Source organism: Homo sapiens, chromosome 11, assembly GCF_000001405.40.
Source record: "Homo sapiens chromosome 11, GRCh38.p14 Primary Assembly".
NCBI lineage: Eukaryota > Metazoa > Chordata > Mammalia > Primates > Hominidae > Homo > Homo sapiens.
The window spans coordinates 69856707-69881541 of record NC_000011.10 but is presented as its reverse complement, the minus strand read 5'-3'; the positions used below and the strand labels follow the sequence as shown (position 1 = coordinate 69881541).

Below are 24835 nucleotides of genomic sequence, written 5' to 3'. Positions count from 1 at the left end.
GTGGACAGAGCCCAGCGTTTCCCACACACGTGACCGGTGGTCACCCATGGTGATCTTCCCTGCCAATCCCTCCTGGCCTTGGAACCAGCACTGGTCCCAGGATGGCCGTATCATTTGTCTGAGCCTCTCAGCTTCTGGGTGGTGGTGTGGGTTTGAGTGGGCTGTGGGGCTCAGGAACTGCACTGGTGCACCCCACAGCCAAGAGGGCCATGGCCAGTGGCACCCAGATGGGGTGGGGCATCGGCTCCTGATGGTACTCAGGCAGGGGGCCTGGTGGGAACAGAGTGTGGTCAGGACACCAGGCCAAGGGCAGCCTGCAAGGAGCTGGTGTTAGGGTAGCCTTCCCTGAAAACCCTAAATGGCAGTCCTCTGTCATCACCCTGGGACCCCGACGTTGTCATACAGCCCATGAGAGCGTCTGAGCACTTTCAAATCCAGAGTCCGTCTCAATCTGGTGAGGTGAGCAGGTATATGGCATCACCTCACTGGACAGAGCAGGGAAGGGCAGTGCTGGGTGCGAGACCCCACAGGGGCGGGTGGTGGGGCCAGCCAGGCCACCTCCCGGGCAGAGCCTCCTGGCAGGTTCTCCTGACGTGCAGTGCAGCTGGGAACTGAAGCTCAGTGCATCCTGTCTCTCACTTTACCTTGCTGCTGGGCTCTGCCCAGGGTTCCCTCATCCAATCCTTAGAGGGATATTTACTGAGCACCTACTATGTGCCTCACAGAGCTCGCCATTCATAGAAACATAAGTAAATAAGCGCACGCCCGAGCAAGAGGGGGTGACCAAGGCAGGGAGGGTCGCAAAGCGGGGGCACCCGGACAGTGACTGGGGGTCTTTTGGAGTGGGGGTTCAGAGAAGGCCTGGGGGCTCTCCGGCCTGAGCCCTGCTGAGCTGTGTAAGGTCTACAGGCCCAGGGCAGCGCCTGCACAGAGCAGGAGCTTGTCAGTCCCTGAGGACAATTGGGGAGGAGGCAGGAGCCCGGCCAGACAGGCAGCCTGGAGGCTGGTGGGGCTGTCATTTCAGGTGGAACCACCCAGTGTAGCCCACCCTGCTCTCTGTAGGAGCCATGAGGTCGATGGGAATTCCTCAAGAAAGGGAAGGAGCAGGTCTGATAAGGGGGCAGGGAAAGACCCAGGGTTTCCCAGCTTCTGTCCCCAGTGGCTGGAGACTCAGCTTCCCCAGCTGTGAAGTGAGGAAGAGCTGGTCCTGCCCCCCGCTCACAGAATCCGTGGCTGGGGGATGCCTGGGAAAGGACTTGGCCATCCCGGCTGCCACTGAATAAAGTGTCTGTTGGGAGCGGGAACCAGGTACTGGGACCTGACCTTCCCCACTAGCTGCCCATGAGTCTGTGTGCGTGAACAAGGGACTGGGGGCTGACGGGCAGCCACTGCCCCCCTGAGCATGGGCAGCTGACCCTGGGCAGGGCCATCCCTGCCCCTGGCAAGGGGCCCAGCATTCTCCACTCCCCGCTTCTCTTAAGGCTTCCAAAAAGGCCTTGAGATGCATAGGGTTCGTTTGTTATTTTAAAAAACAACCATTTTAGTCCCTTTGAAAGCGTCTGTCCCTTTTTTCTCAAAGGCCTGCCCTCCAGGAAAGTGACGTGGGCTGGCATGGCAGATGCTCATCTCTGTGCCCAGGAAGGGGCCAGGCCTGGGGCAGCCCAGCCTCCTTGCTCTCCAAAGAGGCCTGGCCAGCAGTGGGGGCAGCTGCCCGGGGAGGAGGGAGGCTCGTAAAAGAAATCTTCCCGGCCCCTTCTTGGGTCTCTGCAGGACACCATGCCTGGGTGAACTGTGGAGATTCCAAAGCCCCTCCCCCCAACAAAAAGGGTCCCACCATTTGGCTCATCAAAGCCATTTTGTCCCTGGCCAGGCCCAATTCACACCTGGTTGCAGGTCAGTGAACGGGCCAAGAGGAGCTGAGATGCGTTTATGATGGGGGCAGGGGAGGCGGCACAGCCTGGGGTCCTGGCCCCGGGAAGCTGGAGCCTACAGAGCTGGCACCTTTTGGAGCTGCTAGTGGGCTCTTTCTCCCCCTGAACGTCCCACCCCCACCTCCCCCTGGGCCAGCAGGAGGGTGGTCTCTCAGAGCCAGCTCCCAGAATGCAGCTAGGGTCACAGGCCTGGGATGTGGCCACAGGTGGGTGTGCCAGGTCCTGCTTCCTGCAAGAAGCGGCAGCTGCTGGGGATGCATGGCAGCCACCCGCCCTGGGGCCGCCACTGCCACTGGCCCAGCCAGTCTCCACAGGGCAGCCAGAGTGGTCTTTACGAAAGTGGATGGGATCCCCAGTCCCTCTGCTTACAGCCTTCCAGAGCCTTCCACTGGGTTCAGAGTCCTGGCTGCCCTGCCACTGTGGCCTCTTCCCCCAGGCCCCCTCCCACGGGTCTCAAGGCCCTGCTCAACCTCCTCCATCATCATGCCTGCACATCCCCACTGCCAATATCAGTGCAATTAGCATCTCCTCGGGTAGGTCTTTCCAGATCTTCCTGACCCCCTTTGGCCCCCAGGTGCCTCTCCTTGAACTGACATTGCTTTACAGATGTGATGATTGGATGAACATCTGTCTTTCCTGCTGAACTCTGGGTTCTCTGGGGGAGAGACCCTGTTGAAGTTTGCTCACCTCTGTTCCCCCAACCCCATAGCACAGGCTGGGCATGGCAGGTGTGTTGGTGGAGTGAGGATGGGGTAGGGTGTTTGCAAGTGTCCTGGTCAACTCTGCCTATAGGGCTGAGGCTGTGCCCTTCTGTGTTCAGACAGGCTGAGGGGGCCCAATGGGGACCTTTCCAGACAGGAACCAGCCTTTCCTCCCTCTGTGGGAGGGATGTGCCCGGGGCTAGAGCAGCTGAGGCCTCAGGTGACTCCTTGGGCAGAGCCCTGGGGCTTCCAGCTTGAAACCTCCTCCAGCCCTCCCTCCACTGGTGGGCACCTGCCCAGCCAGAGACAAAAGTGGGGGCTTTGCACTTTGCCCAGCACCTCAAAGGTCCACGAGGAGATTGGGGCTTGGGAGAGGGGGCCAGAGGTAGAGGACACAGCTCTAGGCTATGTCTGAGGCCTGCACTGGCAGGATGAGAGACCCATCGTATGTGTTTACTGTGGCTGCTATAATAAATGACCCCAAATGGACTGGCCGAAGACAGCACAAGTGCCTTCTCATGATGTGGAGATCAGAAGTTTGAAATGGGCTCACGGGGCTAAAATCAGCGTGTCGGCAGGACTGGGTCCTCTTCCTGCTGTGTCGGGCCCTGGCTTCCCTCTTACCGGCAGGACTTCCCTCGGTCCCCAGAATAGCCCTCTCAGGCAGGTGTTAATATCATCCCTGTTGCACAGGTGAGAATTGTAACCAAACCAAAGTCAGCCAGGAGAGCCGGGGCTTCAATCTGGCCGAGGGAGTGGGGAACATTTGACCCCACAACCCACATACTACTATGCCCCAACCCTGCAGCCCTCTGTGCTTTTTTTTTTAGCCTTAACTAAAAAAAAATTATTGGCATATGATGTACATACAGGAAAGTGTGCAGCTTTTTCTCGAATAAGCCCACCCACATAGCCAGCATTCGGATCAATAGGACTCACCAAGCTACTCATAGGTCATTGTTAGGGATCAAGACACAAACACAGGCCGGGCGCGGTGGCTCATGCCTGTAATTCCAGCACTTTGGGAAGCCGAGGTGGTTGGATCACCTGAGGTCAGGAGTTTGAGACCAGCCTGGCCAACATGGTGAAACCCTGTCTCTACTGAAAATACAAAAATTAGCTGGGTGTGATCCAGTCACCTGTAATCCCAGCTACTTGGAAGGCTGAGGCAAGAGAATCACTTAAACCCAGGAGGCGGAGGTTGCAGTAAGCCGAGATCACACCACTGCACTCCAGCCTGGGTGACAAGGGTGAAACTCTGTCTCAAAAAAAAAAAAAGACACAAACGCCATCAACACCCAAGAGATGTCATCACCACCCAGCACCTTCTTCCAGGGCTAGCCACAATCCTGCTTCTAACACCCTCTGGATCTTGCCTGGTTCTGTGCTTCGTAGACAGGAATTGCTTGCCTGTGTGTCATGTGTGGCTTGTTCACCCAGGTGTGTCGGATGCAGCCCTGTTCTCCGGGGTGGGTGCGGGCTGCATGCTCTCGTTGCTGTTCGACACTCCACTATGTGAAGACCCCACAGTCTCCTCACTTGTTCAAACCATCCAAAGGCATTTGTGTAGAGTCCAGCTCAGAGCCCTGATTGAAGCTACAGTGACCATCTCAGCACAGCCCTTTGATGTGGGAGGCTAAACACCTCTGCTGGATACCTATTGGGAGCAGACGGGCTGGGAGAGGCTCATTCTCTTCTGGTAACAGTTTTATTGAGATATAATCCACACACCATACAGTTCGCCCATCTAAAGTACACAACGTACTGGTTTTGGTCCATTTAAAAGAGTTGTGCAACCATCATCACAGCCAATTTGAGAAGGTTTCTTTTTTTATGTTTTTTATTTATTTATTTATTTTTGAGATAGAGTTTTGCTCTTGTTGCCCAGGCTGGAGTGCAATAGTGCAATCTTGGCTCACCGCAACCTCTGCCTCCCGAGTTCAAGCCATTCTCCTACCTCAGCCTCCTGAGTAGCTGGGATTACAGGCAGGCGCCACCACACCCGGCTAAATTTTTGTATTTTTAGTAGAGATGGGGTTTCTCCATGTTGGTCATGGTCAGGCTGGTCTCAAACTCCCAACCTCAGGTGATCCACCCGCCTCGGCCTCTCAGAGTGCTGGGATTGCAGGTTTGAGCCACCGCACCCAGAGAACATTTTTGTCACTTCAAAAAGAAGCCCTTTAGCTATGAACCTCCCCCCTTTCTTCCATCTCTCTTGGCTCTAAGTAACCATTAATCTACCTTCTGTCTCTATATATTTGCCTATTCTGGACATTTTATTTATCCCTCTGTCAGTTGATGAACATTTGGCTCATTTCTGCTTCTTGGCTATTACGAATAATGCTGCCATGAGCATTCCTTTACACATTTTTGTGTGGACACGTGTTTTTGTTTCTCTTGGGTATACGGTTGGGAGCAGAATTGCTGGGTCCTATGGTAGGTCCAGGTTTAACCTTTTGAGGAAAAGAGAGACCGTTTTCTAAAGCAGCCACATCATGCAGCCTTCCCACCGGCCAGATAAGAGGGCTCCGATTTCTCCACATTGGCACGAACACTTGACATTATCTGACTTTCTGGCCATCATCATCCTGGGGCCGTGCAGTGGCGAGGCTGTCATTCTTGCCTGGATGTGCAGGTGACAACACTGCCCAACAGGCTTCCTTGGGGGACAGGAGTGCCCATGCCTCTTCCCGTTTCTCTTCAGCTTGGGAGGCTCTGGGATCTGGGGTCATCCCTAACGTCAAGCCTCAGTAGAGACCCCTGCAGCCCCCAGGCTGGATCCGGAGCCATCAAGCAGTGGAACCACCAGGCAGTGTCTCTCTAATTTCCACTGTGCGTTGCTCTTCAGGGCTGAGGCTCCCCCGGGGCTGGCCTCTGAAGCCTTCTGTTTTCAAACAAGAATGAGAAACTCAGCATCTCCTGATGGAGCACCTGCCGTATATCTGGCCATGTTCTAGAAGCTGGAGCTTCGGGGTGAATGGAGGGGTGAGGACCTGCCGTGCATCTGGCCATGTTCTAGAAGCTGGAGCTTCGGGGTGAATGGAGGGGTGAGGACCTGCCGTGCATCTGGCCATGTTCTAGAAGCTGGAGCTTCGGGGTGAATGGAGGGGTGAGGGACCTAGCCTCCTGGACCTTATATTCTGGTGGAGCAGGCAAATAGATACATGAGATTGAGATTATTCAAATTGCAGAAACTGCCTAAAGGAGCAGGCAAATAGATACATGAGATTATTCAAATTGCAGAAACTGCCTAAAGTCACCAGTGGGGTGACGCCAAGAGGGATCTGGGGCCAGGGGACCCAGAGCAGGGTGCAAGGGTCTGGGGCCGCCTTTCTGGGGTGGATGGCCAAGGCTGGTGCCCCTGGACAGGCTCAGCAACATGCTTGTGCGGGTGGAAGCCCAGGGTGTGGATTTGAGGCAAAAACAACTCTTCCCTGCAGCCGGGCCTGCGAGCTGTGGGCCGCGCATTCCTGAGCTGGGGGCTTCGAGCTGTGTGTGTGAGTGGGGAGGGGGGTTGGCGGAGCCTTTAATCAGGCCCAAATTGCTGTGGCTGCCCTGAACAGGCACATGAGGAGCCGCGAGGCTGGCACAGCCATTAATTCTAGTTTGAGCCAGTTTAATAAATAGCTAAATAAAGAAACTGAGAACAGCTTCACAATTAACCCGGATTCCTCGCTAAGTGGTAGGTAGCTTCTCGTTTTCCTAAAAATAAGTTCTTTCCATTGCCTGGTGGTGAAGCCGCCGGAGCCCTCTGCAGGACGAAGGGCCCTCCTGGCTGCTGGGACACGGTTGTGGTGGATGTAAAAGTTCCCTGCAGTTGAAGCAAAATAACCGAGTTAACTCAAAATAACTGGTGAGTCCTTTGTAGTTCCAAGGCAAACAAAACCAGACACACGCACGGAGACTCCAAATGCCGGCAACTCCTCAGGCACCGCAAAGAAACCATTTGCACCTCAGCCTGCCGGGCTGTGGACCTGAAACTGTCCCCAGGGAGCCAGGGAGACTCATGAGCGGTCCCCATGGGCCACTCCGGGGAGTCCTCCCTCCCATCCAAGATCTTCCTGGCAAATCACAGTGGAGCCCGACATCTGGGTTCTGATCCCAGCGCAGGGTGAGCCCGGGAGGGACATTTAACCTCTGAGCCTCACTTCTCCTCCATAAAAGTGGGTGCTTGGGGGGGCCTCTCCCACAGGGTTGTGGGGTTCAAAGGCGGGAGTGTGGGAAGCATCCCATGGCTGCTGTCCTGATACCAGCGTTGGTTCTCAGAACTGCCTCGGCAGGAGGGAGGTTTGGAAGCAGGTAGGCTTGTCTGCGACGGGAACTCAGGTCTCCTGCCTCTCTGTTGTGGGGTTTCTCAGATGCCAGTTATATAAAGGATCCCACCTCCTCTCAGGGTTCCAGGAGCTGCCCATGTCCTCGGCCTCATGTACCCTTAAAAAACCAATGGGGTCTGGAGGAGCGTTCACCCATTCTACAGATGCAGACGCAGGGCCAGAAAGCCATCAGGGCCGCGTGGAAGCTGGGGCAGCCCAGGGCTGGACCTAGGATACAGCTGCATCATCCTTTCTTCTCTGCAGCAGCCCCCACTCCACCCCAGGACGAAGCCTCACAGGAGACCCTCCTCCACCCGCCTTTACCAGCTCCCGAGTTCACGTCTCAGCTGCGCCTGGCCATCTTCATGGTGGGACCAGGTCTGTGGGTGTTTTAGAAATTTGCTGAGGTTATGAGCTGAATCGTGTCCCCCCAAAAGTTTGTTGGGATTCTGACCCACAGTGCCTCTGAATGTGATTGTATTTGGAGATGGGTTTATAAAGAGGTAATTAAGCTAAAATGAGGCCTCTGGGGTGGGTCCTAATGCTGTAGGACTGATGTCCTTGTAAGAGGAGGAGATGAGGACACAGACACACACAGGGGGCCTGTAAGCCAAAGAGAGAGAGGTCTCAGGAGGAGCCAGTCCTGCCACACCTTGAGCTGGGCCTGCAGCCTCCAGGACTGTTGGGGAATCCATTTGTGTTGTGGAAGCTGCACTCTGTTCCAGCGGCCCAAGCTGATGAATACAGCTGGGAATATGCTGGCCCCTTCTGATCTCTCTGAGAAGGTTCTCCACCCTCTACCTTCCCTCCCTCAGCCAGGGCACAGGAGCTGCTAAGAAAAAGGAAACCTATCATGAAGTTTTCCCAATGTGCTGGCCACACTCTCTCCTGTGATCTGGGGGCTGTTTTTAAGTGTAACTTTCAAAATCAACGTGAGCACAGGCAAGCTGAGTAACTGGCCCAACCTCACACAGCATCCGAGCCCTGCGTTTAACCTCTTGCCTCCTGTCTTTGGGGGACTGGAGCCCAGGGCCTGGTGAAATGGGGCCTGGAGCTGCTGTCTATTGTGGGACTGGAAGGTTCTGGAAGCTCAATCCAGCCATGAAGCTTTATTGGACTCCCAAGTTGTTTGTTGATAAGCTACGTGTAAATAGGGAGGAGTTGTGATAATTAATGCTATTAAGTGATAAGTGTTGAAGTACGTGGGGCAGCCGAAGGAGAACTTGGCGAAGAATCAGAAAACCGGCAGCTCCAGCAGGTGGAACACGCGCCTGTCACCTACCAGAACGCTGCCTCTGCTCTCGTCTTCCAGGTCAAGCTACAGCCTCTTCCGCTTCTTGGACGCCTTGCACCACTTCCTTTTGGTTGGTCAGTTGGTTTTTTAATAATTAATAGGCTATTTTTAGTACAATTTTTGATTTACAGAATAACTGATGAGCTATTACATAGGGTTCCACCCACAGTTTCTCCTGTCGTTAACATCTTGCCTTGGTGTGGCACATTTGCTACAATTGATGATCCAATATCAACACATTGTTATTCTCTAAAGTCCACGGTTGACATTAGGGTTTACTCTTGGTGTTGCACAGTTCCATGCATTTTGCCAAATGTGTAATTTCAAATCCAGCATCATATAGAAGAGTTTCATCACCCTAGAAATCCCCTGCACTGCACCATTTAAAAAATGGGCAAAAAGCCTGGCTCTGGTTGACATGTGAGCCAGGTAGGCGTATTTCAACATGCGTTCCAAACAAACCTGATACACAAAGACTGGGGTTCAGGTGAGTGTGATGGGTACAGGTGGGCAGGATGGCCCCAGGTAAGTGTGATGGGTCCAGGTGGATGTGATGGGTCCATGCGGGTGTGATGGGTCCAGGTGGATGTGGTGAGTCCAGGTGGGTGTGATAGGTCCAGGTGAGTATGATGGGCCCAGATAAATGTGATAGGTCCAGGTGGATGTGATGGGTCCAGGTGGGTTTGATGGATCCAGGTGGATGTGATGGGTCCAGGTGGGTTTGATGGATCCAGGTGGGTGTGATGGGTCCAGGTGGGTGTGATGGGTCTAGGTGGGCGTGATGGGTCCAGGTGGGCGTGATGGGTCCAGGTGGGCGTGATGGGTCCAGGTGGGCGTGATGGGTCCAGGTGGGCATGATGGGTTCAGGTGGGTGTGATGGGTTCAGGTGGGTGTGATGGGTCCCGGTGGGTGTAATTGATCCAGATGGGCGTGATGGGTCCAGGTGGGCGTGATGAGTTCAGGTGGGCATGATGGGTTCAGGTGGGTGTGATGGGTCCCGGTGGGTGTAATTGATCCAGGTGGGCATGATGGGTCCAGGTGGGTGCGATGGATCCAGGTGGGCATGATGGGTCCAGGTGGGCGTGATGGATCCAGGTGGGCGTGATGGGTTCAGGTGGGCATGATGGGTCCAGGTGGGCGTGATGGGTCCAGGTGGGCGTGATGGATCCAGGTGGGCGTGAGGGGTCCAGGTGAGTGTGATGGATCCAGGTGAGCGTGATGGGTCCAGGTGGGCGTGATGGATCCAGGTGGGCGTGATGGATCCAGGTGGGCATGATGGGTCCAGGTGAGTGTGTTGGTCTGGGTAGGCATGATGGGCCTAGTTGGGAATGATGGTTCCAGGAGGGTATGGTGAGTCCAGGGGGGTATGGTGGGTCCAGGTGGGTGTGATGGGTCCAGGTGGGTGTGATGGGTCCAGGTGGGTGTGATGGGTCTAGGTGGGTGAGATAGGTTTAGGTAGATGTGACGGGCCCAGGAGGATATAATGGGTTCAGTGAATAAGACGGGACCAGGTAGGCATAATGGGCCAGGTGGATGTGATAGGTTCAGGTGAATGTGATGGACTTAGGTAGATGTGATGGGCCTAGGTAGAAACGATTGGTTCAGGTGGACGTGATGCATTGGTTCAGGTAGGTGAGACGGGTCCAGGTGGATGTGGTGGGCCCAGATAGGTGGGGCATGGCATATAATTTTCCCTCTCTGTGCTTTTCACCTCTCTGTCTCCATATTTAAGGTGGATTAGCTACAGGCTACGTGTGATTGGGCCTCACCTTTTCACCCCCTGTCTGTTTCTGCCTTGTACCTGGGCCATTCCATTAGATGTGGTTCCTGCCGTGGCTGAGCCAGCATCTCCCATGGTGCTCTCCATTTCTCTCTGTCTTGCATTCTTGGTCCCTGTCTTTCCTCTTTCTCTGCATTCTTTTGGATCAATTGAGTATGACTCCATTTCATCTCCTCCATTTGCTGATTGGCTTTACCTCCTGGCTTTCTTTCTCTGGTTATTTGTTGAGTACAATGTTGTCCAATTCATGGCCCTTGGGCTGCATGTGGCCCAGGACAGCTTTGAATGTGGCCTAACACAAATTCATAAACTTTCTTAAAAGATTATTAGATTTGTTTGCATTTTTTAAGCTTATCAGCTATTGTTAGTGTTAGTGTATTCTATGTGTGGCCCAAGACAATTCTTCTTCCAATGTGGCTGAGGGAAGTCAAAAGATTAGACACCCCTCATTTAGCATTTGCTTTGAAGTTTCTGTGTTACCATCTACCATTCCAGAATGCCGTGCAGTTTCACACATGGCGGGAGAATTATGTAACATATTTACTCTCTCAGCTTTTGTGCAATAGTTGTCATCTATTTCCTTCCACAGATTTTACAAACTCCAGAACACTCTACTCTGACCTTGGCTTTAAACAGCCAATTATATATAAAGGAGGCTTTGCAAATAAAAGGTAAACGTTGTTTCATTTATTTCACTGCCTCTAAGAAGCAGCACATGAGAGAGCCTGTTTCCCTGATTTTTTGCTAATTCTGGACATTATGATTTTTCAAAAAATATCTGTCATTTAGGGAGGCAAAAAAATGTAGTGGCTTTTTTTTTCTTTTTCTCTCTTTTTTTTTTTTTTTTTTTTTTTTTGAGATGGAGTTTTGCTCTTGTCGCCCAGGCTGGAGTGCAATGGCACAATCTCGGCCCACTGCAACCTCCACCTCCTGGGTTCAAGTGATTCTCCTGCCTCAGCCTCCTAAGTAGCTGGGATTACAGGCGGTAGCCACCACACCCAGATAATTTTTGCATTTTTAGTAGAGACGGGGTTTCCCCACATTGGCCAAGCTGATCTCAAACTCCTGACCTCAGATGATCCACCCGCTTTGGCCTCCCAAAGTGCTGGGATTACAGGCATGAGCCACCACCCCCAGCCAAAATGTAGTGGTTTAAAGCTCTTTTTTTTTTTCTGCATTTTTTTACTGACACATAATTGATGAGTACAAATTGTCCATATTTATGACGCACAGTGTGATGTTTTGATACATGTATACATCATGGAAAGATTGCCACAATCTAGCTGATTAACATCCCCATCGTCTCAAGTTATCACTTGTGAGTGTGGTGATTTTCAATTATATGACACGTTATTATTAACTAACTTTGTACAGTCACCATGCTGTACAAAGACCTCCAGAATTTATTCTATGTAACTAAAACTTTGTACCCTTTGGCAAAAAAATGTGGTTGTAGTGGGCATTCCTTTGATTCTAGCGCATTGATTGTTTTTGTATTGTATAGAGTAATAATATTTAACATTTATTGAGCACTTGCTGTGTGATAGGCCCTGCTGCGCCGTGTGTGTCAATGAAGTCACTGATTCTCTAAAACAATTCTGCGAGATGACTCCTATTATTATGTGTATTTCTACATATGAGAAAACTGAGGCACCCAGAGATTGTCCCTGCCTTGCTCCGACTGCTGACAGGCAGCATGAGGGCCCCCCATGTGTTCCTCCCCAGGCAGCCCAGGCCAGCCAGGGCACGGCAGAGGCCACCTGCATGAGCGGCTACTCAGAAAACGTCTGCTGGAGGCAGAAAATGCCACCGCTGCTGTAGCCCATTCACAGCCTCGTCCCCATCCTCTGCGGCTGCAGGCCCCACTCTGCTGCCATGGCACCTTGGCACACCCTGGCTTCCTGGCCTTCCTCCCTCCACCCCTGACCTGGCTAACACCTGCTCTCCTTCAGAGGGGCCGGGTGGCTCTGTTTCGTGTCCTGTGCTCCAGGGATCCCATCGTACCCATTTCTGTCGTTTTATCATCTCCCATCATGCTGAGAGTTGGTGAGTGAGGACTGAGGCAGGTGTTGCCTGTCATTGGATGCCAGGTGGGTATGAAGCTGGCCTGGGGGTAGTCAGGGCCACCCCAGTGGGTAATCTATGCTAGGCCTCAGGAGGTGGCCAGCCTGGGACAGGGCCACTGGGGGCCGTGTGCTCCTCAGGAGCAGTGGCCGCACAACCCTGAAATCACCCAGGTGGTGGTAGGGCAGGATTAGTTTTCACCACTGAGTGACCAGGGTCTCTCCCCTGCCTGCCCAAGAGCAACCAGAGAGCACAGGTGGGGAGCATGTCCTGGGGTCCTGGGGTGAGACACTTGACCTCCCCAAGGCTCAGTTTTTCCTCTATTAAATGGGGTAATGACTGATGGAGTTGAACAAGGCAACAGGTGTGAAGGGTTCGGCCAGCACGGGGAGCGCGCAGAGAAGTGCATCCCCGGATTGATAAAGGAGCCGGGCCCACTGGGTGCCTGTTACAGGCGTGGGACAGTGAGGGGTGCTGACCAGTGGGTGTCCACGTCTTCCCACCAGGCAGGGACAACAAAGAGACCAAAGAAACTGTGTGCTTGGATGCTTTTGGTGTGTATGGGCACAAGGTGACCTCAGCTCTGTGATAGTTTCCTTGAAGGTGCGGAGGCTGGGGCTGAGCGGGGACCCTGTCCCGAAGCGTGGCCACAGAGAGAAGACCTCCCTCTACCGCGGGGGACTTCGTGCGGCTGGCCTGTGTGCTGGCTCTGGCGGCCAGAGACAAAGGGGGCTGCGGCCGGGCTGGGGGCTGGCATAGCGAGCCGGCAGCCAAGCAGAACAAATCCTCGGAGGCCTTCCTGTGCCTCCCCCGCGTGCAACCCGAGCTGGTGCGCGGGGCGGCTGCCCGGGGTGGGGGCTCCGCGGCGGCCTTGAGGCAGCAGTGAGTATTCACGGTAATTTGAGGGCTTCCACTGGGGGGTTCCCGATCATTTGATGTGGCAATTAGCAAGGGGACTTTTGTCGTCCGGAAAGACACAACCGCCTACTTCAATCACCCTGTTTATGCCCCCACAGAAGCCAAACAGCCCCAGCGGCAGATAACGGGTGGACTTCAAACGGCTCCAGGTCGGGCGTCCCTGGAACCCAGGCCGTGCTGCACCCCCCCACCTTTCATGCAGCCAAAATGCTCCTTTTCCCATGAGAAATTCCGGCCTTAATGGCACTGGATGACAAAGGCAGGCGCTCGCCCACCTCAAGCCCTTTTTTATGTGGGACCTAGCTCTGCCGGTGGACGGAAGAAGGGGCAAGGCACAAGGGATTCCAAAGGTGCACGGCCCCCATGAGTGGGGTGGGCCAGAGACTCCCTGGGTGCCCACAAGGGCCTGGGTCCCTGTCCCCATACAAGGGGTGGCAGCTCAGGACCTGGGCTTTGCTCTTCTGTTCCCCGTAAACAGCTCCCGCTTCCAGAGGGCGAGTTCGACTTTGAGTCAGATGCAAACTCCCCAGTTGAGGATGGTGACGATGACGATGATGATGTCACCACGCTGCTGCTGGCGGAGCACATGCTGGTGTCAGGCCCTGTGCCAGGCACATCAAACTGGCCTCAGCCGTGAGGGAAGCCTGTTTACACACCAGGCTGGACAAGGTTTTGGGACCAGGTCACGCATGGGGCAGCTGGAGCAGTGGGGCCCGGGCAAAGAGCCAGTGGGAGTCACTGGCCCGGATGCCATCCAGCTGAGTCCCTGGCCTGGCGGCTGAGGACAAGCCTTGAGGTCTCGCTGAGTCTCATCCGATAAATGGAACTCATGAAACCACCAGCCACTGCTGCAGCACAAGGCTGTTGCGAGGAACCACGGAAAAGGCCAAAGTGTTACACAGGGCAAGGCCTCAGCCCGTGCTCAGTGCTTAGAAAAGCTCAGGAAACATCTCCTCTCAGCCTCTGCTTCCCTGCCATGGAAATGCTGATGGAGCATCAGAATGGGGAAGGGGGCCGAACGTGAATGCCTGGTACAGCCGCCTGTGGCTAAGCCTGTGTTGATCTATTCCTCGCTCCCTGTTACTCAGACACGCTCGGGACCTGGCTAGGACCACACCTGATCATCTGACCCCATGGGCTGTGGCAGCAGGAACAAGCAGAGGGAAGAAAACGGTGGTGGGATGTCCAAGCTCATCCCCTTCGCAGCCAGCTGCTACCCACGTGATCATAAAATAGACACACACATGCCCTGTGGGAGGAATAAGCCCATCCGTTGATTGATTGACTCATTTCAAAGCCCTCTCTGTGGCATGCGCTGTGCATAGACTGGTGAACAGGATAGCCCCATCCTGAGTGAATCTGTGCTTGGTGAGAGGCAGGTAATGACGACACAGACAACAGGATGGTTTCGGATTGTGGTCGGTGTGTTAAAGACAGTGAAGCTGGGCGATGGTGGGAGGCGAAGGCGAGGGACATTGAGCCTGGGGAGACCTGTGGGAAGAACACATTTGTCAGCTCAGGAACAGAGAAAGTGTCAGTGTGGCTAAAGCAGTGTGTGGGGGAAGGCATGGGGTGGAGGGCACTGGTGGGGTGACTGACAAAGGCCTGGTTGTAGCAGGCCTTGCATGCCGGCCAAAGGAGCTTGGTTTTAGGCTGAATGCATAGAGGCTATGCAGACATTGCTCCAGCCTTGCAATGCTCCTACTCTAAAGCCTTCAATGGCTCCCTATTGCCTCCCAAAGGACCTCTTTCTTGCACAGGGATTCAAAGCCCTGTACAATCTGGGCCTAACACCCCTGATGATCAAAACTCCAGACATTCCGTTTAAGCTTCAGCCCACCGAGAGCCTCCCTGGCTCCTAAATGTCTCCCTTGTCCTGCCTCTGCACTGTTGCTAAGCCACGCTTCTGTCCAGAATGTCACAGGGAGCAAATGTCTTTCCACCAGAAACTGCACCATTCATTAAGGCCCTGTGAAAACCTCGACATCCCAGGAGGCTGCCCCAGCACCTTGCCCAGGCTGTCTGACACTGTCCAGTCTCCGTGGGTAAATTGCTGTGTGGCCTTAGGTGAGGCGTTGACTTCTCTTATCCTTCTCTGTAAAATGGGATAATAATAGTAACTACCTCCTGGGGTTGTTGCTAGGATTAAATGAAGATAAGGCACTATTAGAAATGGGAAACGGTTGGCATCACCATATTTTATAGAATATAAGGTATCACCAATTGTTGTAAGATACAACATTATTTTATACTCCACTAAGGGTGGAAAAAAGCTGATAGACCACGACACACTCCAGAAAGGCCCTTTAAGTGAGCAGAGGAGTTTGAGAACTGTCAGAATGTTAAGCTAAAGAAGCACAAGGACATATGTAGGCCCCAAGGAGCCTCTGGTGGCCATCTTTCTGAAATTCTGCCCTTGGAATTCTGAAGCTCGGAAAGACTGGCAAAAGCTACCCGTTTTTCCAGATGGAGAAACTGAGGCACAAAGAGGAGGAGGTCAAGCTTGTGATCACATGATGCGTTGAGCCTTTGAGCTGCAGATGGAATTGTGAGCATGGGGTGAGGGGCCTCCCTGGGGCATTGCCTGTTCCCAGAGGTGCCAGAGGCCACCGTGCTCCATGCTTTTCCTCCCCCACAGCCTGGCCACTGCAAGCCCCTACTCCTGCCATTTCTCCTGCTGCACCTCCGCCCCCACCCGCCATTGCATGCTCAGTGGCAGTCCTGGCAAATGTCTAGGAAATAGAGTTTTCAGGGGTCAGTTCTCATGGTAAACATAAGAATCAGGGGGTCAGGGTTGACCTCAGGGATCCTGGGGTGAGCCCTTTTGTGACACCCCCGCCTTCCACACATCCACTTACTTAGTTCGAAGTCACATCTCCTGGGTGCAGCCAAAGGGAAATGGAGATAAAACACCGAGAGTTGTGGGCCAGCAGGGGAGATGGGCAGGTAAACAGCAGGAGCTTACTGGGACACCAGCAGGGGAGGGGGGATCTGGGCAGACTTCCTGGAGGAGGTGGCTGTGGTGGAGTCGAGCCCCGCAGGTGGACAGAAAGGTGGGCTGCAGCAGGCCAGGTGCTGGCAGGAAGCACGGCCCGGCTTGTCTCTTGCAGGCCCGTGGGATTCCACTCCAGGGTGCTGCTCTCAGGACGGAGGCTTGAGTCGGTTCTGGCCCCTGGTTTCTTCTCTTCAATACGCCCACCTTGTCGGGTGCCTTGGGTTCTCCCTCCACGGGAGCCTGTTGTATGCGGGGCTCCCACAGCTGTCTCATGACTGGGCCCAAGCCAAAGAGAGGGGCTGAGAACCCAGCTTTGTGACTCACCGGCTGTGTGACCGTGAGTAGGAAGCCACCCCTCTCTGGGCTGACAGCACCTTGCTCCTGATGTCCAGAGCTCAGGCCATCACCCCGTCCTTGCCAGTATCTCCACCCCAGTGAGAGAGGAAACGGATGCCAACCCGGGGCTCTGACCCCCAAAGGCCAGGCTCTTTTCAGTCCCTGTGCACCCGCCACCCACTCACATCCATGCCCCAGCGGCTGCCTCTGCAGTCCCAGGGACCCTCCTGGCTGAGCCTCCCCCCATCACCCCATCCACCATTCTGTGCTGGGCACGAGCTCGGTCTCCACCATGGGAAGGTGCCCAGCCAGCCCTGGGCTTCACCTCCAGCAGCTGCCTCTGCCTACAGTCTCTCCTGCATCCCCACTCCCGGGCATGGCTGGGCTCTTCTCCACCCTCTGCTCAGAGGTCACCCTCCCGCCCTAACGCTGCTTCCACGTCCCCCTCCTACGCTGCTCCAGCTGCCTCCTGCTCACCTCTGCTTTACTTTCTTCCTCTCGCTTCTCCCCTCCCCAGAAACCAGACTGGGCACTGGTTCCCTCCCTCCCTGTGGTGTGAGCTCAGGGAAGGAGAGACCACGTGGATGGGTCCCACGGCACCTCCAGCCCTCAGAACGCACCTAGCATGGCCTTCTCTCTATTTCCTTGTATTTTCAATGATTTCACCCAAGACCAGAGATGCGGAGGGGCCTTCCCGAGGTCACACTGCAGGTCAAAGGGGCCTCCCTGGGGCTCTCTGCCCATTCCTAGAGGTGGCAGAGGCCACCGTGCTCCCTGCCTTTCCTCCCCCACAGCCTGGCCACTGCACGGCCCCTACTCCTGCCATTTCTGTCCCCCACTGCACCCACCCCACCCCCCCAAATGTTCAGTGGCAATCCTGGCAAATGTCTACAAAATCGAGTTTTCCCAGCAGGATGCAACGCATCTGCTTGGCCTGAGTCACCTGCCCCACAGCCCACAGAGCTGAAAACTTGGAGCAAAAGGAACAGTGGCCTCCAGGGCACCATAGCCTGGCCCACCATTTAAGGGGGTGGTGGGATGAAAGGAGGGGTGGGGGAAAGAAGGCAGCATTGACCTAAATCAAGGTGGACACTTGAGGCCCCGGCCGTGTGCGGCTACTTGTGGCTCTGCAGGTGGCGGGAGGCCCTCTGCACCCACCTGCCCTGTGAACCCAGGTCCAAAGCCGCAGTGAGGGCCTGGAAGCCGGAGGGAGCCAGGATGGAAGCTGCTTCTTTGAGGGCCAAAGGGTTTCCGCGTGTGCAAAGGCAGGGCGCTGCATTGGGTGGGTCCCAGAGGCTGTCCTGCCGTGGCTGCACCTCTCTGTGCCCCACCCCACCCCACCAAACCTCACTGGGGAAGGAGGAAGCCTCAGGGGGCTCTTGGGGGCTCAGAAGGCCCAACTGCAGCAGGTGCTCACCAGTGCCTGGGCCTCAGAGCTGGGAGCCCTTCCTGGCCTTGAGAAATGACAGGGCCGTGGACTTGGAAGCATCCATGCTGGGACATATGACACAGCAGTGGGCCTAGTAAAGTGTCAAACCACGCGGCAGCTCAGATAGACCTTCCCGAATGGCCTGGATGGAGAGAAGCCACAGAGCGGCCACAGAGGAGCACATCCAGCGGGATCCCACGTACAGAGAGCTGCAAAGAGCCCAAATGAACCTGCTGGGGGACACAGGTGGGCGGTCACACCACACAGACGAGCAGGGAAGTGAGTCCCCGAGGGTCAGGGCTGGGGAGCGAGTGGTCTGGCGGGACACTGGTCTCTTCGTGGCCTGGGTGGATGTTGTCTGAGAGCGAGTGTGCGGCTGCCTGGGCTCTGGAGTGGGCTGGCTCTCCCACTGGTGCGGTGATGTGGGGAGCTCACATGACCTCTCCCTTTCTTATCTGTGAAATGGGGGCACAGGTCTACATCCCTCCTGGGTGGTCATGAGGGCTAATAGAGTGTGGAAGCCTCAGTTATGAGTGAAGGAAGCTGCTGCCCACCCTGTAGCCACCACCACCACCACCATCATCATCATCATCATAGATGTCTTCAGGTCAAAGGCCAGGGAAGGCGCTGCTGCTGCTCTCCTTGGCTGTCCCTGAGGCCTGGAACTTGGGGGAGGAGGAAGAGGAGGTCTTCTCAGCTGACTCTGAAGCCAACAAGGATTCAGGGTTATGGGGATCCCAGGGGTGGGGACAGATGTCAGCCTCTGGCTGCAATGGGCAGTAAGTGGGGCCAGGGCAGCCTGACCCCCAGGGGACCAGGGAGTTGCTGGTGGGTGCTGCAACTTCTTTAGTGATCAGTAAAACTCCCACCTCTGCCCCCATAGAAGGCCTCCTGGAGGGAGCTATCTCCTGGGGCCCGGCCGTTGACACCTCCATGGACAGGCTGAAGTAGTTGGCTTTTGAGTGTCTCTCCAAGACAGCAATTTGCCACCTCATTATGAGCTTGATGGATGAGCACTGACCGGGACAGCCGTCCCCTTGGGTGGGGGAGTGGCCCTGGGCCACCCAAGGCCCAGAGAAAGGCAGCTGATGTGCATGACAAAATGTTTTCTTACCGCCCGGTGCCAGTGACAGCCCCTCAAAGGAAATGCAGTCTCTGCAGAAGTGATTCATGCGCCCGTCTTTGTGGGGCCGAGATTGGCTGTTGTTTGGCGGTTGAAGAAAGGGCCACCGGCTCCTTGTAGTCTCTGGGAATGCCGTCTCCGTGGGCCACCAGCCCCCCGGTCAGCACGCACGAGGCCACTCTTCATTTTGATGAGGTTTCCAAAGGCCCTGGCTGCAGCCGGGGCCACTGCTTGGTCGGGGCCACTGCAGGCCGGCTCAGTAGCAACCTTTGCGGGCCGTGCTTGATTCCATAAGAGAGAAAGGGCCCCTGCCAGCCCATCTGTAATCTTCGATAGCACCAGGTCCCCAGCAACCTGCACCCACCAAGGGGTCATCAAATATGCACTATGTCATCAGCTGATTGACACCTTGCTCCCCTCCACGAGGGCCATTCTTACAACCCCAATATTCCCCGACCATTCCCTCCACGGGTCTCTGTTTGCCTGTTGCCATGCTCCAGGCCTTGGATACAGCTGTGAGCGGGACAGACTGGGCTCATGTGGCTGTGTGTCCCACAAGGGAAAGCCGGACAGTAAACCAATGCGTGGGTGAGATGTCCAATGTGACCAGTGCTCAGGGGCAGGCAGTGGTGGGGCTTGTGTCCTTGCTAGGGTGGTCAGGGAAGCTTCTCCAAGGGGGTGATCCAGTGTGATGATGGACAATTTCTGCATTTCTCTGAGTTTCTTCCCCGTAAAACAGGGATAATAGTAGTTGTATCATACAGTTGTTGCATGCATGAAATGACACACAGCATGAGACACACTCAGCTCCATCGGGGATGCAGTAAGACCTCAATAAACCACACAGCTATTACATTGCGGCTGCCATTGTCATTAATTTTTAGTTTCAGATCATTCCAGTTAGAAGCCTTTCCAGATCCTATGAACCTCTGTTCATTAATCTTTCACTTAGCCAATGCTTCTGGGGCAATGAGTCCTCAGAAACTAGGTTTGCCCAGAGTGTCGGAGGCCCCTCCAAAAGCGGGGGCTGGCAGGACCACGGCCGTTTCCTGCAGGAGAAAGATGAGAGAGAGGTAGAGGTGGCCACTATCCAGGTGAAGCAAGAGGAGCCCTCGTTTTTGACACCTGTCCCAGATGGGCAGGAGTTCTGGATTGCCAAGGTCAGCCTTGGGTCTGTGCAGGTGAGCCCAAGGATTTGGAGCTACTTGGTCTGAGGAGTGAGAGCTGAGCTCTGGGGAAGAAGTTGTCAAAGTAAAAGCAGAAAGGGTCCTGGAAAAAGCACTCGACTAGGAAGCTGGAGTCCAGGGTTCTAGCCCCACAATATGCCTGTACCTTGCTGCCTCCCTTTGGGCAGGTCACCTGATCCCTCTTGGTGTCATCCCTCCTATAATGGGCTGGACCAAGCGAATGCTCCGTGCACTGCATCCCAAGAGTCCTGGGGATCTGCTGGAGGTGTTGCGGGATCTGGGTTTAGAGTGAGAGTGGCTCAGGAAGGACAGTACCAAGTAGTTATCACTGCACAGCAAACCACTCCAAACTCGGTGACTTCACATGAGGAGTGCTTCTTCTATTCACAAGCCCAGGGGTCAGCCGGGCAGTCCTGCTTATCTGGATGAAGCTCGGGGGATCTTGGCTGGACTCATCGTATGTCTGCAGACAGCAGGTGGGCTGGCTGGTTTAGGATGCCCTCACTTCCATGCCTGAAGATTGGGCAGCTCTCAGCTGGAGTCACGGTGGACCACTGGGCCACTGTCTCTCTTCCTCCAGCAGGCCAGCCCCTGGTAAGAGTCCTGGGTCCTCTTAGGGCCTAGGCTCAGAATTGGTGGCTGGTCTCTGCTGCCACAATTCTATTTTTTTTTTCTTTTTTGAGACAGAGTCTCTCTCTGTTGCTCAGGCTGGAGTGCAGTGGTGTAATCATGGCTCACTGCAACCTTCGCCTTCCCAGCTCAAGCAATCCTCTCACCTTAGCCTTCTGAGTAGGTGGGACTGCAGGTGCATGCTACCATGGCAACACAAACTAATTTTTTGTGTTTTTTTGTAGAGACAGGGTTTCACTGTGTTGTCCAGGCTGGTCTCGAACTCTTGGACTCAAGCAATCTTCCCTCCTCCGCCTCTCAAAGTGCTGTGATTACAGGCATGAGCCACTGCACCCAGCCACTGCAGTCACATTTTTTTGGCCAAAGCAAGTTACAAAACCAACCCTGATTCAAGGGACAGGGAAATAGACTTTGCCTCTTGCTAGGAATTGCTGCAACCAGGAGTGTTGAGTTGGGGAGGAAAATAATTAGGGGCATTTCTGCAGTCATTTAACCACGAGGACCAACAAACAAGACTTGAAGCGGGGTGGGGCCAGAAGCAGGAGAGACGCACTGTAAACAGGATCCTCTCCAGAGGGCAACATGGAGTCCAGCTCAGAGGTAGAGCTCACATTTTCCTCCAAAACTACACGTGGCTATTTTTTCTTCCTGGTATTACCCCATCCCCTTGTGTGTATATTTTTTAAAGAAGAAAACATTCTCTCAGATTAAACAAAATTGTACTTGTGATCACAGTCTCAGCTTTTACACCGTGAGAACATCGGAGGATTTGTGTAGGAAGCCTGAAGGTGTGTCGCTGTGGGTGACCCGTGGGCCAGTCTGTAGAAAAGACAAGAACTGCAAGTTCGTATAATACAAAAGCCTCCCCTGCTGCATGGGAAGAAATGGATCTGGTACCTTAGAACTGGGGAGTAAAGGGATAAATGAGAAGAAGCGACAGCTCTTCCTTACCAAAGAATCCAATTAATAAATGTAGAAAGAATTTGGAAAATAGAAAATCACCATTAGAACAACAAAGTCATCACAGTCATAATGTGTCCAGAGTTGGTTCCCGCTGGTGGGTTCGTGGTCTCGCTGACTTCAAGAATGAAGCAGCAGACCTTCGTGGTGGGTGCTACAGCTCTTAAAGATGTCCCGGACCCAAAGAGTAAGTAGCAGCAAGGTTTATTGTGAAGAGCAAAAGGACAAAGCTTCCACCACATCCAAGGGGACCCGAGTGAGTTGCCCCTGCTGGCTGAGGTGGCCAGCTTTTATTTCCCTATTGGCCCCGCCCATGTTCTGTTTCTGTCCTATCAGAATGCCCTTTTTTCAGTCCTCCCAGTGATTGGCTACTTTTAGAATCCTGCTGATTGGTGCATTTTGCAGAGCACTGATTGGTGTGTTTTACAGAGCGCTGACTGGTGAGTTTTACAGAGCGCTGACTGGTGCGTTTTACAGAGGGCTAATTGGTGCATTTTACAATCCTCTTTTAAGACAGGAAAGTTCCCTAAGTCCCCACTCGACCCAGAAAGTCCAGCTGGCCTCACTTCTCAATAATTGTTACAGGTAATATCTGCTGGTTGAGGCTAAAATTAGTGGGTACAAGTTTGAGGAGAAAGAGGATATTTGCATAGTCTGAAAGTATTGCTCCTAAAGTTATTAATTACAACAGGAAAAGTAGTAAGGAAGACACCACCTTAACCAAGTGATCTAGGTTAACTTTGCCACTAATGAGATACAGTGACATGGGCATTGCTTCTAGGGTATTCTTGCAAAAATGCATAACCTCCACCTTATCATGAGATAACATCAGATAAACCCAAATTGAGGAAAATTCTGCTAAATAACTTACCATCACTCTTCAAAAGCGTCAAAGTCACGAAAGATAAGACAAGGCTGAGGAAGTGTCTCAGACTGAGGAGGCTAGGAGGATATGACAAGTAAATACAATATGATGTCCTGGACTGGATCCTGGAACGGGAAAAGGACATAGCGATGAAATTTATGAAACCTGAATCAGGTCTGTAGTTTAGTTGATAGTGTTGAACCCATGTTAATTTCTTAGTTTCGACAATTATATTTGGCTGCTTGAGATACTAACATTAAAGGAAGCTGGGTAAGGAAGTCTTGGGACTATTTACTGCCACTTTTCTTTCAGTTGAAAATTATTTCAAAATAAAAAGCTAAAAAAAAAACTATGTGAAGCAAAGTAATTTTGGTTCCAACCATATTGTACTGAGTATTAAGATCACCCTTTCATCATAAACAACTATTCAACTGGGTGCAATATTTAAAATAACTTTTGAAGGCATCAGACAACAGAAAATACAGGGCTGTTTTCCTTCATGGGGAAAGACATATGGGAATAAGCCCCGCCTTCATTCTGGCTTTATACTTGAGGGAAATTTCTAAACTGAGGCACAAGGCAGCCAAACCCAACCTAAAGCAGCATTCTTGCCATTGCAGCTCTAGAACAAGGGCTCTTCTAGGCCCACAATAACAAGGAATGAAAATAATCTTCAATCAAACTGTTTCACCAATAAATTAACAGCCTGTTAAGGGGAGAAAAATTCTCAAGATTCTTTAAAGGAAGACAATAAAATCCAGACTAAAACAACATAGCATTTGCAATGTCTAACGTACAGTAGAAAAATTACTAGACATTCAAAGAGGCAGAAAAAATGTGACCCATACTCAGAAGAGAAAAAGTAATTAATAGAAACAAACGCAGAGATGACACAGATGATTTAGCAGACTTTAAAACAACGTGAGCGTTAGAGGTGCCAACACCCCATACAGTCAAAAATCCATGTTTAACTTTTGAATCCCTCAAAACTTAACTGCCTGTTGTTGACCAGAAGCTTACCAATAACAAATAGTTGATTAACACATATTTTGTAAGTTTTACGTGTTATACACTGTATTCTTACAATAAAGTAAGCTAGAGAAAAGAAAATGTTATTAAGAAAACCATAAGGCAGCCTGGTCAACATAACAAGACCCTATCTCTATAAAAAATTTAGAAATTAGTCGGGTGTGGTGGCACACACCTGTAGTCAGGAGGCTGAGATGGGAGGATAGCTTGAGTGCAGGAGTTTGAGGCTGCAGTGAACTATGATAGGGCCACTGCACTCCAGCCTGGGGGACAGAGTGAGACTCCATCTCAAAAGAAAGAAAGAGAGAGAAAGAGAAAGAGAGAAGGAGGGAGGGAGGGAGAGAGGTAAGCAGGCAGGCAAGCATGAGGAAGAAAAAATATGTTGATTATTCATTAAGTGGAAGTGGATCATCATAGAGGTCTTCATCGTCATTGTCTTCATGTTGAGTAAGCTGAGGAGAAGGAGGAAGAGGAAGAGGAAGAGTTGGTCTTGCTCTCTCAAGGGTGACAGAAGTAGAAGTAGTGGACGAGGTAGAAGGGGGAGCAGGAGAGGCAGGTGCACTTGCTGTAACTTTTATTTTTAAAAATCCACTTATAAATGGACCTGCACAGGTAAAACCTGAGTTGTTCAAGGGTCAACTGTATTATAAATATGCTCCAGGCCTTAAAGAAGAAAATGCACATAATGAATACAGAGATGAAGAATCACAGCAGATATATGAAAACTAAAAAAGAAGTAAATGGAAATTCCCAGATCTGAAAAGTACAATGTCTGAAATGACAAGATCAAAAATTCACTGGATGGTCCTAAAAACAGATTTAACAGTGTAGAAGAAAATGTCATGAACTTGAAATCAGCTCAACGGAAATTACCCAAACAAGAACAAGATAATTGATGGTATCTCTGATATGAAGCAAAAATAATCACAGTATATTATGGGTTTATAACATACACAGAAATAAAATGTATTATATAATGGCACAAAGGGCAAGGTGAATGAATAAATAGAAGTATATTGTTAATAGCCAGGCGTGGTGGCACACTCCTGTAATCCCAACCACTTGGGAGGCTGAGGCACCAGAATTGCTTGAACCTGGGAAGCAGAGGTTGCAAGTGAGCTGAGATCGTGCCACTGCACTCCAGCCTGGGTGACAGAGTGAGACTCTGTCAAAAAAAAAAAAAAAGCATAATTGTTGTAAAGGTCTTACAATACATGTGAAGTGGTATAATATTAATTCAAGGTGTATCGTGAAAAGTTAACAATACACACTATAATACC

At 52.6% G+C, this 24835-nt stretch overlaps 4 annotated features.

The window, feature by feature from the left end:
- Positions 2080-2711: an enhancer, noted in NCBI's record as "H3K4me1 hESC enhancer chr11:69693599-69694230 (GRCh37/hg19 assembly coordinates)". NCBI's record gives its function as "activates a minimal SCP1, AML or CMV promoter by ChIP-STARR-seq in naive H9 embryonic stem cells {active_cell/tissue: H9 hESC(naive)}" and the evidence as "EXISTENCE:reporter gene assay evidence [ECO:0000049][PMID:30033119]".
- Positions 15112-15669: an enhancer, noted in NCBI's record as "H3K4me1 hESC enhancer chr11:69680641-69681198 (GRCh37/hg19 assembly coordinates)". NCBI's record gives its function as "activates a minimal SCP1, AML or CMV promoter by ChIP-STARR-seq in primed H9 embryonic stem cells {active_cell/tissue: H9 hESC(primed)}" and the evidence as "EXISTENCE:reporter gene assay evidence [ECO:0000049][PMID:30033119]".
- Positions 15670-16227: an enhancer, noted in NCBI's record as "H3K4me1 hESC enhancer chr11:69680083-69680640 (GRCh37/hg19 assembly coordinates)". NCBI's record gives its function as "activates a minimal SCP1, AML or CMV promoter by ChIP-STARR-seq in naive H9 embryonic stem cells {active_cell/tissue: H9 hESC(naive)}" and the evidence as "EXISTENCE:reporter gene assay evidence [ECO:0000049][PMID:30033119]".
- Positions 16228-16785: an enhancer, noted in NCBI's record as "H3K4me1 hESC enhancer chr11:69679525-69680082 (GRCh37/hg19 assembly coordinates)". NCBI's record gives its function as "activates a minimal SCP1, AML or CMV promoter by ChIP-STARR-seq in naive and primed H9 embryonic stem cells {active_cell/tissue: H9 hESC(naive and primed)}" and the evidence as "EXISTENCE:reporter gene assay evidence [ECO:0000049][PMID:30033119]".